The sequence below is a fragment of the Homo sapiens genome, chromosome 12 (assembly GCF_000001405.40).
Source record: "Homo sapiens chromosome 12, GRCh38.p14 Primary Assembly".
NCBI lineage: Eukaryota > Metazoa > Chordata > Mammalia > Primates > Hominidae > Homo > Homo sapiens.
Window position 1 is genome coordinate 123476275 of NC_000012.12, and position 16178 is coordinate 123492452.

The 16178-nt window shown below is 51.5% G+C and overlaps 1 protein-coding gene across 5 annotated transcripts in view; it reads right to left on the reverse strand.

Moving 5' to 3' along the window:
• Positions 1 to 16178, reverse strand: part of RILPL1 (Rab interacting lysosomal protein like 1) — a 63666-nt gene that overhangs the window by 6221 nt on the left and 41267 nt on the right. For all 5 annotated transcript variants that reach the window (NM_178314.5, NM_001319243.2, NM_001319302.2 and 2 more), the window contains 2 exons: positions 9359 to 9531; positions 7906 to 7998 (listed from right to left, as the gene is read on the reverse strand). In NM_178314.5, the coding sequence (NP_847884.2) occupies positions 7906 to 7998; positions 9359 to 9531 (266 nt within the window). The remainder of the gene's footprint in view (positions 1 to 7905; positions 7999 to 9358; positions 9532 to 16178) is intronic.

Genomic DNA, 16178 nt, shown 5'->3' on the forward strand with positions numbered 1-16178 from the left:
TACTAAAAATACAAAAATTAGCCGGGCGTGGTGGCGCATGCCTGTAATCCCTGCTACTAGGGAGGCTGAGGCAGAAGAATCGCCTGAACCTGGGAGGTGGAGGTTGCGGTGAGCCGAGATCGCGCCATTGCACTCCAGCCTGGGCAACAAGAGCAAAACTCCATCTCAAGAAAAAAAAGAAAAAAAGAAATAGGGTCCTTACAAATGTAACTAGTTAAGATGAGGTTATGCTGGAGTAGGGTGGGTTCTAATCCAATATGACTGGTATCCTTATAAAAGGGGGACATCTGGACAGAGATGGCATGTGAGGAAGGTGGAAGTGGATACTGAGGTGAGGCTTCTGCAGGCCAAGGACTGCCAAAGACCCCCAGCAGCCACCAGAAATGGAGAGAGGTGTGGGGCAGATTCTCCCTTACAGTCCGAAGAAGGAGCTGACCCTGCTGACGCCTTTATCGTGGCCTTCTGGCCTCCGGAAGTGGGAGACAATACCTGACTGTTATTGAAGCCCCTGAGTCTGCAGTATTTTGTTACAGCAGTTCTAGAAACTGATGCAGTATATGACAGCCAACGAGGGATGACAGAGTGGCTCCCCAGGGCTAAAATGTAGGGCTGTGTGTGGGGAACGAAGAAGGCAAAATACGCTGTGGGAGGTGGTGGTGATGCCCTGGCAAGGGGGCCTTTCAGTGTCCTCCCCAACTGCGATGAGCTGCAGGCGCCATGACCCTAAGCGCCAGGCGAGAACCAGGAGAGACTGAAGCAGAGGGGCCAGGCAGGACGAGGGCTGAGGCAGAGGCTGCAGAATCATCAGATATTCTGGTCTAAGCCCACGGTAAGTAAATGCTCATCTGTTTCTCAGCTGGGCAGAGGAAATGAAGATGAAACTCCAACCATGCCACTAGAGCTTATTTTGAAAAGCTATAATTTTTTTAAAAAGTTGGTTGGATAAAGATAAAATAATTGTCTCAAATGAGGTTTGGCGATGTTCCAGGTGTTTGGATTACCTTTGATGTGCTTCACAGAGTAGCTAGGAGTTAGGAGTTGGTATCTTTTCTTTCTTTCTTTCTTTTTTTTTTTTTTTTTTTTTGAGACAGTCTCGCTTTGCCACCCAGGCTGCAGTGTAGTGGCACAATCTCTGCTCACTGCAACCTCCACCTCCTGGGTTCAAGTGATTCTCCTGCCTCAGCCTCCCCAGTAGCTGGGACTACAGGCGTGCACCACCCTGCTGGGCTAATTTTTGTATTTTTAGTAGAGACGGGGTTTCCCTGTGTTGGCCAGGTTGGTCTTGAACTCCTGGCATCAAGTGATCCACCCGCCTTGGCCTCCCAAAGTGCTGGAGTGAACCACCACGCCTGGCCAGGAGTTGGTGTCTTTGCAGAACCTCCTGGATGGTTTCTCACAATGACATGGAGAAGATGAGATGCCTTCTGCTAAGTGAATGGGCCCCAGAGGCCAGACTACCGGACACAGTTAGCTTTCCAGGGGCTCCAAGCAACACCATTTTGTACCCACCTTTGCCAGGACACCCAAAGAGGGTGCCCACAAAGATACAGTCATTGTGTGGGAAGTGGCCTCAAACACGGGGGACATTTTGCCTCAAGAGATGTTTGCCACTGGGAATGCTGGACTTCATTTAGGGCCTTTTCAGGGGGTGACCAATGCTCGGGGGCCTGGGACACCTGGAGTGTTCTGACTGAGTTACTCCATCTGTATGTCTTTTTTTTTTTTTTTTTTTTTTTTTTTCAGAGACAGGTCTCGCTTTGCTGCTCAGCTGGAGTGCAGTGGTGCAATCTGGGCCCACTGCAGCCGCGACCTCCTGGGCTCAAGTGATCTTCCTGCCTCAGCTTCCCTAGTAGCTGGGACTACAAGCATGTGCCACCATGCCCGGCCAATTAAAAAAAATTTTTTTCCTCGAGATAGGGTCTTGCTATGTTGCCCAGGCTCATCTCAAACTCCTGGCCTCAAGCGATCCCCCCACCTCGGCCTCCCAAAGTGTTGGGATTACAGGCATGAACCACCGCGCCTGGCCCTGTCTGTGTCTTGCTGTGCTCACTGAGCGGATGGCCCCTTCCCTTACTATTCCAGGGGCTGCCCTGCGGAAGCCATCTCCTCTAGAGGTACAGCTATTTCCATAAAAAGATTGACTTGTTTTGGCCCGAAGTTTGTCTTGAATATCCTGTAGCTGGTTTTAACTCCCCGCTCCCCGCCAAATATTTCTGGAAGACTCAAACCAAATGAAGTTCTACCAGTGGCATTTCAGGCAGTGTAATGGGCGGCTGTGAAGAAGCTATTCCTGGGCTGGAGCGAGGGGGGTGGTGGGTGGGAGGACAGGGATAGAATGCACTGTCATTGCTACCCCTGGACACCTGGGTGGCCACCCACTCCAAAGCCAACCTTTCCAGTCCTCGAGGCCAGTTCTCATCCCCTGCTTCCCCGGTCCCCCCTCTATACCCACCTGTCTTCTTATCTCCTGATCAGCCCCTAGCCCCCGCCCTGCAAAAGGCAACTGTGTGTGCGTCCATGGGACCATGACTGAGAGACAGGGACCACGCAAAAGGGGGCACTGGTGCCTGGTGTTCACTGGGGACGAGGCTGAAGTCACTCCAGCACTCCCTCGTGACCTTCCTGGGCAGTGCCAGCCTGGCCTCTCTGGACAGCAGCTGCTCAATCACAAACTATTCTTGGAACATCTTCCGGGCACACTGTTTTGACTGGCAGCAAAACAGTTCCCTTGTCCGGTTCAGTCTAGAAATGTGAAGTCTGACGCCTGTGACTCATGATGCACTGTGCAGACAAGGGGCCACCACCAGAGACTCGGGGAGGGGAGCGGGAAAATGGTGGCGGGGGTGGGAGCAGAAAAGGAATGGGTTCAAATCTGAAGACAGCCTTCCCAGCAGTTTGATCTAAATGTCAGTGGGCTTCTCTGGGCCTCAGTTCCCTCATCTGAGAAATGGGGATAATTATCCCAGCTCTGGGTCCCTGACAGGATGGAAGATACTTTAGTTCAAGTACTCTAAGCTGCCGAAGCCCCTGAACACTCCTTGGCGACTGTGAATTGCTGCAGGAGGAGGGGTGGGAAAAACCAGTTAACAGTGGGAAGCAGAGCTGAAGAGCCGCCCTGAGCAGACCGCATGGCTAATACTCCCTGGAGGAAGGACGGAAGAGACCCAGCAGACCAGGTAGGTGCAGGAGGAATGAAGGATGGAAGGACGCTCAGAACCGCCTCAGAAACTGTCATTCCCTGCGCCAGCCCAGGGAAGATCTGTCCCTGCCCAGGCCCCTCCCAGCCTCTGGGCTCACAGGCTGCTCTGGTACAGCTTCCAACCAGCAGTAGAGGTGGACAAAGGCGACCAGTGTCCTGCCTGCACTGGTCAAAAGCCCTTTGTGCCAGTTTGCTCTCCCAGTTATCCCCCAGCAAGTGGGGCTGCCACGGGACTGGTCACCCGCACCCTGTGGCTGGGAGGTTCTGGTCTCGCTCTCTCGTCTTTCTCTGAGTCTGTCCCTGCCCGGCTCAGAGCCCCACACTTTCCTGAGCAACCAGAAGCCAACCTAAGTGGGGAAGAGCTCTGAAAACAGGGCCCCAGCGTCCTTTCTGGAACAATCTGGAAAAGAAGGACAGACACCACAGCCTATTCAGGTGTGGGCAGAAGAACTAGTGGAAAGATTCGTTGGCTAATTCTGATAACTTTCCTCTGGATTTCACCCAATACGAAATTTGCAAAGCCAACTTAATTGTCTGTTTAGAGAAAGGGGCCCAGAGTAGAAAATTACAGTTAGAAAAACTCGGCTCTGGAAGGAATTTTTAGAATTACATATGACCGTGGGTGCTGGAGGCTCTGAATGCAGTACATTGGAAGTGAAAGTGAAGGTGCTAGAAAGGCTGATTCTTTTTTTTTTTTTTTTTTTTTAAATGGGGTATCGCTCTGTTGTCCAGGCTCGAATGCAGTGGTGTGATCTCGGCTCACTGCAACCTCCGCCTCTGGAGTTCAAGCAATTTTCCTGCCTCAGTCTCCTGAGTAGCTGGGATTACAGGTGCCCACCACCACACCTGGCTAATTTTTTTGTATTTTTAGTAGAGATGGGGGTTTCACCATGTAGGCCACACTGGTCTCGAACTCCTGACCTTGTGATCCACCTGCCTCAGCCTCCCAAAGTGCTGGGATTACAGGTTGAGCCACCGTGCCCGGCCTGAAAGGCTAATTCTTAACGACCTGGGAACAAATGGCTGAAGGATGCAGAACACAAGTCTCTTGATCTCCCCCTCCCTCAGCCCATGCAGAGACTATCTGGGCTCATGAAGCTTCTTGCAGTTTCTCCAGGCCTGAAACTCAAAGCTGTAGCTATCAAAGCATACAAGATAGATTCTGCTCATCCTCACATAGGAGTGGGGCTGGCGAGTGAGTTGGAGTTTAAGCAAAGCCAGTCCCATTTCCTACCAAGCACTGCATGAGAAACCCTTCCTGGGCACTAAGTACTGCAGAGAATCAAGACTGAAGGGCTTCCTCCTCCCAACGTGAGGCTACCGTGGGCACCCCGTATTTCTGTCTATCTAGCACTCTGATATTGCTTGGGGACCCATCCCTTCCCCTACTTTCAGGCCACTTGAACTGGATGGAGGTAAAAGTGCTCTGAGCGTCAAGGGTGAGGAGTCACAGACCCGGACGATCAATGTGCTGTCCTGTGATTGGGTTAGGGATAGTCATGTGACCCAGCTGGAGCCAATGGGACTCATTTCTGTGACTGATGGAAATCTTGGGAACAGAGACTCTGCACTGGAGTTTCAGACAGAAGAAAATGAAACCTGGCCGGGCGCGGTGGCTCACGCCTGTAATCCCAGCACTTTGGGAGGCCGAGGCGGGTGGATCACCTGAAGTCAGGAGTTAGAGACCAGCCTGGCCAACATGGTGAAACTCCGTCTCTACTAAAATTACAAAACTTAGCCGGGCGTAGAGGCAGATGCCTCTAATCCCAGCTACTCGGGAGGCTGAGACAGGAGAGAACTGCTTGAACCCGGGAGGTGGAGGCTGCAGTGAGCTGAGATTGTGCCACTGCACTCCAGCCTCGGCAATGGAGTGAGACTCCCTCTCAAAAAAAAAAAAAAAGAAAGAAAGAAAATGAAACCTGAGCCAAGGGCTGCCATGCTGCCATCCTCAGGCTGGACTGGACACCCAAGAATGGAGCCCACAGAGGAAAACCAAGCCAGGGGTGGAGGAAACAAGGCCTGGATCCAGCTGAGCCCCACGCTGTGGCAAGTTGGAACTTTTAGTTCCTTAGCCAAATTTGTTTTCTTTTTTTTTTTTTTGAGGCGGAGTTTCACTCTTGTTGCCCAAACTGGAGTGCAATGGCACGATCTTGGCTCACTGCAACCTCTGTCTCCCAGGTTCAAGCGATTCTCCTGCCTCAGCCTCCCAAGTAGCTGGGATTACAGGTGTGTGCCACCACGCCCGGCTGATTTTTGTATTTTTAGTGGAGATGGGGTTTCTCCGTATTGGTCAGGCTGGTCTCAAACTCCCGACCTCAGCTGATCCACTCGCCTCGGCCTCCCAAAGTGCTGGGATTACAAGCCTGAGCCACCGAGCCCAGCCCCAAATTTGTTTTGTTTTCTTTTTTCTTTTTTGAGATGGAGTCTCGCTCTGTCGCTCAGAGGCTGGAGTACAATGGCACAATCTCAGCTCACTGCAACCTCTGCCTCCCGGGTTCAAGCAATTTTCCTGCCTCAGCCTCCTGAGTAGCTGGGACTACAGGCATGTGACCACCACGCCCAGCTAATTTTTGTAGTTTTAGTAGAAATGAGGTTTCACCATGTTGGCCAGGTTGGTCTTGAACTTCTGACCTCATGATCCACCCACCTAGACCTCCCAAAGTGCTGGGATTACAGGCGTGAGCTACTGCGCCTGGCCTCCAAATTCGTTTTCTTAGGTTACTTTGAGTTGAGTTTCAATTGCAAATGGAAGGTTACTACTGAATCCATGATCTAAATGGTGTTGGGATCTAGAGGAAGCTTTTCTGGTGCCATGCGTCTTCCCTAGGAAATGTTTATCTCTAACCAGAACTGGGGCCACACTCCCTCCCCAGTGCATCAGGGACCTGGGGCCAAACTCCTAAGCAGCCTGAATGAAGCTGGAAGGGAGTCGTGCACCAGCCTGTACTCTCTAGCAATATCCGGCTAATTTTAAATTTTTTTGTAGAGACAGAGTCTCACTACGTGGCCCAGGTTGGTCTCAAACTCCTGGCCTCAAGTGATCCTTCTGCCTTGGCCTTTCAGAGTGCTGGGATTACAGATGTGAGCTGCCATGCCCAGCAAAGGGCATCATTTTCTTTCTTTCTTTTTTATCCCTCTCTCTCTCTCTTTTTTTTTTTTTTTCGAGACAGGGTTTCGCTCTGTCACCCTAGCTGGAGTGCAGTGGTACAATCTTGGCTCACTGAAGCCTCAACCTCCTGGGCTCAAACAATCCTCCCACTTCAGCCTCCCAAGTAGCTGGGACCATACCCAGCTAATTTTTGTATTTTTTGTAGAGAGGTGGTTTCACCATGTTGCCCAGGTTGGTCTTGAACTCCTGAGCTCAAGTGATCCTCCCACCTCTGCCTCCCAAAATGCTGAGATTACAGGTGTGAGCTACCGCACCCAGCCCCAAGGGCACCATTTTCTAAGAGGAGAGGGCCCAGCAGTGACAAACCTGCACGGCTCTGCATTGTCTACTCACAGGGCAAGAACTAACCAAGAATTTCCAAACATAACTGGATTTTAAAGGTTGGGGTATATGGGTAACACTCCACTTCCTCTCCCTACACGATCCGACTGGCTTTCCAACCCACACGCCCTGTTTTCACAAAGTTTCTTGTGGGTTTTGGAGGAAAGAACTGAAACCTCTTCTGTACTAAGCCTTGGATAGAACTGGAAGGCAGGCCCAGAGCCTGGAAGACCGTCTCAGGGGAGAGAATGCAGCTCCAACACTGCAAGCACAAGGCTGTCTTGCAGAGAGCTCACAGTGTGGGCTCTGGGGCCAGGCTACCTGGGTTTGAGCCCTGGTTCTGCCTCTTATTAGCTGAATGACCCTAGGCAGGTGCCTCTGTTTCCTTAACTATAAAATGGGAATGATGATGCTTCCACCCCACAACACCATGCTGAGGACTCAATGAGATATTCTGTGGGAACAGGACCCAGCACGTGTTAGCTTCTTAGTAGATACTGTCTAACAAAACCAGAGGTGTTAACCCTTTATCTGAAGAGTCTTAGAGGTCCATGAACCTCCTGAAATTGTTCACAAATTTTACAGATTTCTCTGGGGGAAATTTCAGGAGGTTTTATCACAACCTCAAAGGAATCTGTTGATGCCAAGAACCACTGAAGTAGCTTAAAGTCTAGTTGAGGGCAGGGACTAGGTCACTCTTTTTTGCGGGGTTCTCCTGCAGCAACCAAGGCCTGACTCTGCATGCGTTATGCAGTAACCCCTGCTTAATGGACAGAGGGCTACATGGATGAGTCATCAGAGAACTGCATAGATGGGGTGGACCCAGGGCCACCTGACATCTCAGAGCTGAGGTCTCAAGCTTCAGATGCACAACCCACCCCTACCTCGCTACCCTTATTTCCTGTCCTCAAAGGCCCAGAGATGCACCCCACCCCCATGAAACACACTCCAGCAAGCTCCTGAGTATCAGCCACTGGCCCAAGCCTCTCCCCTCTCGCCTCCCGCACTCCCCAAACCTCTCTGCCCAGAGACCCCCAGGAGGGACTCAGCATTCAGGAAGGGAGATGAACTCAAAGTCGGGGGCCAGGCCAGACGTCTCAGCAGGATGTGGTTAGTCACAAGCCTGGCCCTGGGAGCAGGTGCCAAGGAGGAAAAGTCAAAGGACACGTGAACCGCCAGGTCAGCCGAGCGCAGAAGCTGGCAGCGCATCACTTACAGTCGCTTGATGCCCGACTCCGGCTGGGGGGACGTCCTCGGGTGGGCGATGGGTGGGGGTTGGGGTATTCGGTTTTCCTCTTCCATTTCTTCACTGGAAGGAGATGAGAGGCGTGAGATAAAAGAGTCAAAAGTTCCTTGAGAACTGGAACATTCCAGAAGAGAAGTGTCTGATGGTCTGAGAGGGTGCATGCTTTTTAGGGGACCCGCATCTGTATTTCCAGTTTATTCTGAAGAGTCCAGCCAAATAGAACCACTCCCCGTTTCCTGTCCTTACACAGGCTTCCCTGTCGCTACACCTCTGTGGTTTCTTCTACCCAGAATATACCTGTCACTCCTCAACATCTCCCATATCTAAATACTACCCTATCCTTTCAGGAAGGCCCAGTTCAAATGCTGCTTCCTCCAGGAGGCCTTCCGATTTCCACCCCATCCACAAACTCGAAGAAGTGATCTCTCCCACTCTCCCATCTTTTTTTTTTTTTTTTTTTTTTGAGACAGGGTCTCATTCTGTTGCCCAGGCTCGAGTGCAGTGGTACAAACATACATAGCTCACTGCAGCCTTGACCTTGGGCTGAAATGATCCTCCTGCTTCAGCCTCCCAAGTGGCTGGGACTACAGGGTGAGCCACCATACCTGGCTAATTTTTAAAAATTTTTGTGTAGAGATGGGGGTCCCACTATGTTGCCCAGGCTGGTTTCGAGTCCTGGGTTCAAGTGATCCGCCTGCCTCGGCCTCGCAAAGTGCTGGGATGACAGGCATGAGCCACCGCGCCCGGCCTCTCCCATCTTTGAACATCCAGTATACAGTCAGTAAACCTTTCAATAAAAATGTGTGGTATTATATTTTTTATGCATCTCTTATCTTCCCCACTGGAGCAGGGACCACCTCTGGTGCATGGGTCCTTCCTTCCAGCTTTCTATTCAACAGATATTTGTTGTGCACCTACTGTGTGCCAAGCTCCATTCTAAGTGCTGGGAACTTAGCCATGGACAAGATAAATAAGACTTCTGGTCTCATGTTGCTTGTGGTCTCATGTGGAAACCTACAATAAAGCAAGCATGAGAGTGAACAGGATAATGTAGGAGGTGAAAAGGGCCACATAGACCATTAACACCGGGGCCGGGTTTCATTCATTCATTCATTTAAAAAAAGAGATGAGGTCTCGCTTTGTTGCCCAGGCTAGTCTCGAATGCCTGGGATCAAGCAATCTTCCCGCCTCGGCCTCCCAAAATACTGGAATTAAAGGTGTGAGCTCTGGTGCCCGGCCTGGGCCCAAGAGTTTCAGAAAGGGGTTGTGAGCTTGTATGTAAGTTCTTTAGGCCAGAGAGGGTACCCAAAAAAAACACTGATGAAATGCTTGTCTTCCAGGGGGTAAGAAGGTAACTGTACAGAAACTCTGGCTAACCTCAGTAAGGAGCCAGCTCGGGCCATCCAGCCCCAGGGACACTTGCCTCTTATAGTAAGCCAGCTCCTCCTGCAGCAAGAACACCTTGGACTTGAGCTCGTTCCTCTCGTGCAGCACGTCCCGCAGCTCCTGCAGGGTGAACCGGGGGCGGTTGGGGTCCTTGAGATCCATGGCCACCTTCTCTGCGTCGGAGATGCTCTCCTCTCCCACCGGCTCCGTCTGGAGGAGGCAGAGATGCTGCTAATGAATTCTTGGCAGCCACTGCCAGCACCCACTCTCTATCCTGAAGGAGCCCAAATTCTCCCCCTCCCGGGGTGCCAGCAGCCTGTGGAGGGTGCTATTTTCAGCACTCGCAGGCGGCCCTTGCTCACGTTCTGTACAGTTTCCCTCTGGAGGTGGAAGCCAGCAGCCACCTGTTCATTGTTCGCCTTCCCAATAGCCGAACCCACGGACCCCGCACCTCCCCACCCGACTTGGGGTTTCATTACAAACATGACAAGGCATCCAGGGAGGAGCTGTCACACCTCCCCTGCCCCCACCCTCGTACATCTGCTGCTTCCCCCTTTCCAGGCCTCCTTTCATCTCCTTACTAAGACCATTGCTAATTTGGCCAGAGTGGCTGGAATCTCAGCCTACACACAATTCTCCATTCCTTTTTCATTTGACAGTAAGTCATATCCATTTTCCCTGTTGTTATGGGCCTTCTGGTTAGGTCCTCTCCTCCCCAGTGGCTTTGAGTATCTGGAGTTCAGTGGAAGCCCGGCGGGGGTGCACACTCGGCCATTTCTCTGTGATGCGGGTGACCAACAGATCCCAGCATCATGCTAAGTCACCTGCCCCAGGTCACACCCACACCCATCCTCTCACCTTCTTGCATAGCGAGGGAGCCTTTTTAGAAAAATGTGGTAAAATATACATCATCTAAAATTTACCATTTGAACCTTTTAAAAGTGAACAATTTGGAAGTGACATTTAGTAAACTCACATGTCACACAACCACCACCTCTGTCCAGTTCTAGAACATTTTCTTCATACCAAAAGGAAAACCCATACTTATTATTTTATTTTTTTCTGAGATGGAGTTTCACTGTCACCCAGGCTGGAGTGCAATGGCATGATCTCAGCTCACTGCAACCTCCACTCCTTGGCTTCAAGCGATTCTTGTGCCTCAGCCTCCCGAGTAGCTGGGATTACAGGTGTGTACCGCCACACCCGGCAATTTTTTTTTTTTTGAGACGGAATCTCTCTGTCACCCAGGCTGGAGTGCAGTGGCACGATCTCAGCTCACTGCAAACTCCACCACCCGGGTTCAAGCCATCCTCCTGCCTCAGCCTCCTGAGTACCTGGGATTACAGGCGCCTGCCATTATGCCTGGCTAATTTTTGTATTTTTAGTAGAGACAGGGTTTCACCATGTTGGCCAGACTGGTCTTGAACTCCTGACCTCAAGTGATCCACCCGCCTTTGCCTCCCAAAGTGCTGGGATTACAGGTGTGAGCCACCGCACCCGGCTGAAAACCTGTACTTATTAAGCAGTCACTCTCTACTTCCCTATCCTGAGCCCTTGGCAAATGCCAATGTAGTTTCTGTCTATGGACTGCCTACCATGGACATTTCCCAGAAACAGAATCATACATTAAGTGGCCTTTTGTGCCTGGCTCCTTTCACTTAGCACGGTGTTTCCAAGGTTCATCCACGTTGCAGCACACACCAGCACTTCACTCTTTTTTTTTTTGAGATGGCATCTCACTCTGTCACCCAGGCTGGAGTGCAATGGCACGATCTCAGCTCACTTCAACCTCTGCCTCCTGGGTTCAAGCGATTCTTCCGCCTCAGCCTCCCGAGTAGCTAGCTGGGAATACAGGCACCCGCCATCATGCCCGGGCTAAGTTTTGTATTTTTGTAGAGACGGGGTTTTACCATGTTGGTCAGGCTGGTCTTGAACTCCCGTCCTCAGGTGATCCACCCACCTCAGCCTCCCAAAGTGCTGGGATTACAGGGGTGGGCCACCCCGCCAGCTCACTTCACTCCTTTTGATGGCTGAGCCATATTCCACTGTACAGATGTACCACAGTGTGTTTATCCATTCTTCAGCTGACGGACATCAGAGTGGTTTCCACTCTTTGGCTAATGTGAATAGCAATGCTAAGAACTGTATTAGTGTGGACACTTGTTTTCAGTTCTTCTGGTTGTATACCTGGGAGTGGGATTGCTGGGTCATGGGCTAATTCTGTGTTTAACTTGTTGAGGAGTTGTCAAACCGTTTCCCACGGCAGCTGCTCTATTTTACATTCCCACCAGCAATGCACAAGGGTTCCAATTTCTCTATATTCTTGCCAACAGTTATTTTCCTTTTTTTTCTTAATCACAAGGAAGCTTTTGCAAGTCAGCCAGTCAATCTACAGGTAGCCCACACTCTCAAAGGAATGGAGTGTCCCCAACACTCCTGAGCCACCAATGTCCCGTGACCAACCAGGAGTAGACAGAGGTCAGGACAGCAGTGAAAAAGCTCCAGAACAGGGAAAGGGAGAGGAAACAGACGTCCTTCCCAACCTCAAGAAAAACTCCATAGGCCCGGCACCGTGGCTCACACTCCTAATTCTAGCACTTTGGGAGGCTGAGGCAGGAGGATCACTAGAACCCAGGAGATTCAGACCAGCCCGGGCAACATAGCAAGACCTCATGTCTACAAAAAAGAAAAGAAAATTAACTGGGCATGGTGGCTTGCCCCTGTAGTCCCAGTTACATAGGAGGCTGAGGCATGAGGATCACCTGAGCCCAGGAAGTGGAGGCTGCAGTGAGCCAAGACTGTGCCACTGCACTTAAGGCAGTGTCTCCAACAAAGTGAGACCCTGTCTCAAAAAAAAAAAAAAAAAAAGAAGAAGAAGAAGAAAAACCCCATAGCAGCACAGGGAGAAGGGGACTAACTCCAGCCTGAATGTGCCCTGGACAGGAGGCTGAGGGATTCCAGAAGGCAGAGCCGAGAGGCTTCACACCCTGTGGGAGGCTGGAACCGGCTGTTCTGGGAAAGGACGTGTGAAAGGAGACAACACCCACTGCTGGGGCACGTCAGGTGACAGCAGAGCCACACACAGCAGGCCCAGGTTGGGGGAGCAAGCTGACCCTGCCCAGCCTTGGGGTCGGAGTCAGCACGGGGCAGCAGAGGAGGGGCCTCCATGCAGTGGGAAACTGAAATCTGACCCCGGCCGCCCTCGCAAGCTGTCTGGGCAGCTGAGGGGCTTCTTCCCACCCAAGAACAAGGGGAGGAAATGTTGGAGGATTTAATTTCCAAAGAAAGTATTCTAGGCGTCTGCTGATGCCACAATTTAGGTGGGCTGTGTCCTCAGAGGACATCTTCAATGTCCGATCTCCTCTGCAGCGCCTCCAGGGATGCTCCGGAACCACCCGGCAGCCACACACTCCATGTCTCCACCCAAGACCACATACAACAGGTGACGGATATGCGGCCGGCATTCAATCGCGCCAGTTCTCCTCTTTCCCTGGCCCAGCTTCACCAAGGAGCAACCCTGGATGTCTAGTTATCCAACATTTACTGAGAGCTAACTTTGTGCCTTGCTGGCCGTGGAGCTCAGCCCTGGGAACAGAGTCAGACAGATGGGGCTGAAGAGAAGATACACATAAATAGAAGCTTAAGGCCAGGTGTGGTGGCTCACACCTGTAATCCCAGTACTTTGGGAGGCTGAGGCAGGCGGATCACCTGAAGTCAGGAGTTCGAGACCAGCCTGGACAACATGGTGAAACGCTATCTCTACTGAAAATACAAAAATTAGCTGGGCGGCCAGGCACAGTGGCTCACGCCTGTAATCTCAGCACTTTGGGAAGCTGAGGTGGGTGGATCACGAAGTCAGGAGATCGAGACCAGCCTGGCCAACATGGTGAAACCCCGTCTCTACTAAAAAACACAAAAATTAGTCAGGCATGGTGGTGGGCACCTGTAATCCCAGCTGCTCGGGAGGCTGAGGCAGGAGAATTGCTTGAACCCAGGAGATGGAGGTTACAGTGAGCTGACACGGTGCCACTGTACTCCAGCCTGGGCGACAGAGCGACAGAGTAAGACTCCATCTTAAAAAAAAAAAAAATAGTGCACAGACACAAGATCTAACTGGAGAGAATCAGGGAAGATGTTAATCAGATGTGGTCTCTATGCATGGGGTCTTGACGAATATGTAGGAGTTCACCAGGAACTCTGGGCATTAGTAGTATAGATCAGAGGTTGCAAACTAAGCTCTTAGACCATCCCAGTGCTGCTGGCCCACATTTTGTTTGGCCTTCACTGTGTTCTAAAACTCTGTTGAATTAGCTGCGAACTCTTTAAGATTAGGAGATTTCATATTGAAGTTTGCATTTTGGGCTTCCTGTGGAAAGTGCGCTGGAAGATCAGGCCCCACTGGCAACGCTGGGCTGTTTCCGAGCAGCAGCTGCTCCCTTTTCCATCCCCTTTCTCCTTCTCCTGCCTGGACCCTGCAGGCAGCAGTGGCCCCTGCTATGGACCCGAACCCCAAGCTCCCTCCAGTCCCTTCCTCCTCAGACAGCTCGGGTCCTGCCTTTCATAGCAGGTCAGGGCCTTGCCTCTCCTGTGTCTCTGGGAGGGACCATCTGACAGCCGTCCCCACACCCTGGGGAAAGAGCAAAGCCCTTCAAAGGAACTCCCAAACCCCCACCTCTCGAGAGGCCTCTGGGCAAAGCCACCCGCCCCTATGTCTGGGCTTTCATCTCCCCATCTAGCCCTTGATAACCCAGAAATATTTCCAAGGGCCCTTCCCACCCAGGTACCTGGGGATTTCTGTGAACACACACTTTCAAAGCCACAGGAATTTTCTGCTCACCCCTATTGGGTTTTAACTGCCCAAGACATTGAAGGGCTTCCTTAGAACCTGAGTTCTTTTTTTTCTGGAGAAGGGACAGTTCATTTTTGGGGAGGAATGGCCTGATTCCTTTAGAGTTTGGGGAAATCCCAGCAAGGTATGCAAAAGTCCTTACTCTCTTTTTTTTTTAATTTTATTTATATTTCATTAGAGATGGGGTCTCACTTTGTTGCCCAGGCTGGTTTCGGACTCCCGGGCTTAAACAATCCTCCTGGCTCAGCCTCCCAAAGTGCTGGGATTACAGGCGTGAGCCATTGTGTCTGGCCCCAAAGTCCTGACTTTTTTTTTTTTTTTTTGAGACAGAGTTTTGCTCTTGTTGCCCAGGCTAGAGTGCAATGGCATGATCTCAGCTCACCGCAACCTCTGCTTCCTGGGTTCAAGTGATTCTCCTGCCTCAGCCTCTCAAGTAGCTGGGAGTACAGGCATGCGCCACCATGCCTGGCTAATTTTGTATTTTTAGTAGAGATGGGCTTTCGCCATGTTGGCCAGGCTGGTCTTAAACTCCTGACCTCAGGTGATCCGCCTGCCTCAGCCTCCCAAAGTGTTGGGATTACAGGCGTGAGCCACCATGCCCGCCCTGACTTCTAATACTATTGCCTGAAAGTACAGGCAGAAGGACAGCCCTGGGCTCCAGCTTCTCGAGAGGCCACCAGGCAGTGACCGCAGGGCCACGGGCAGCCCAGGACTATCCGGTTCAGACTGGGAGGGACCAAGGAGGCTCTTTCCAAGATGGCAATCGAGCTCCATCTGCCGTGGTCCTCCTAGGCTTACTCCATGCGGGACCGGGAGGTGGCTCGGGTTAGCTGAGATAAGCTGGGGCCTTTTGTGGGTTGTCTGCTGATCCCTGGAGGTACTCTGGGCACAGCTTCAGAGCGATACCCTGAGGCCTCAGCTGCTTCCCAGGAAGGCCCAAGAGACCAACTAACAAGCCACGAGGCTGCCCAGAGGCCTTAGGGAGGCAGCATCCTGGGTCAGGGCCTCCATCCCGAGGCCTTAGGAATGCTCCTCACTGCCTGGGTGCCTCAAAGCACCCTGCCCTCCCACGGCAGCCCCTTCACAGTACTTCTCAGCAGCCCCTGGCCCAGCAATGGGGAACGACTGTGCTCTGGTCACACTTGGCACCACCAGGCCTAGCATAAATTCAATGCATAAATTCTGCCCGCCTTTCAGCCAGCATACGCCTGTCTGCTTTCCCTATGCAGGCAGCCCGCACTTTACAAAACAAAAACAAAACCTGCTACGAAATCAAAACGTGTGGCTGGGCGCGGTGGCTCACACCTGTAATCCCAGCAGGAGGCCGAAGCAGGCGGATCATTTGAGGTCAAGAGTTCGAGATCAGCCTGGGCAACATGGTAAAACCCTGTCTCTACTAAAAATACACAAAAATGAGCTGGGTGTGGTGGCGCACACCTGTAATCCCAGCTACTCGGGAGGCTGAGGCACAAGAATTGCTTGAACCCAGGAGGCGGAGGTTGTGGTGAGCCAAGATCGTGCCATTGCACTCCAGCCTGGGTGATGGAGTGAGACCCTGACTCAAAATAAATAAATAAATAAAATAAAATAAAATAGAGGCAGGCAGATCATTTGAGGTCAGGAGTTCAAGACCAGCCTGACCAACATGGGGAAACCCTGTCTCTACTAAAAATACAAAAATTAGCCTATCATGGTGGCTTGAACCCGGGAGGTGGAGGTTGCAGTGAACTGAGATTGTGCCACTGCACCCCGGCCTGAGACCCTGTCTCAAAAAAAAAGAAGAAAAAAAAATATATATATATACATATAATCTGTGAAAGGCAGGAAACCTTGAGTTGAAATATGAGAACCTGGATTAACAAGAAAACATGCTAAGTTAAAGAAGCCAGGCAGGACCACATGTTGTAGGATCCCACTGATGCCATGTCCCGAACAGGTAAATACACAGAGGGAAACAGCCTGCTGGTGGCCAGGGGCTGGGGAAGGGAGGAGGCAGCTACCGCAGGAG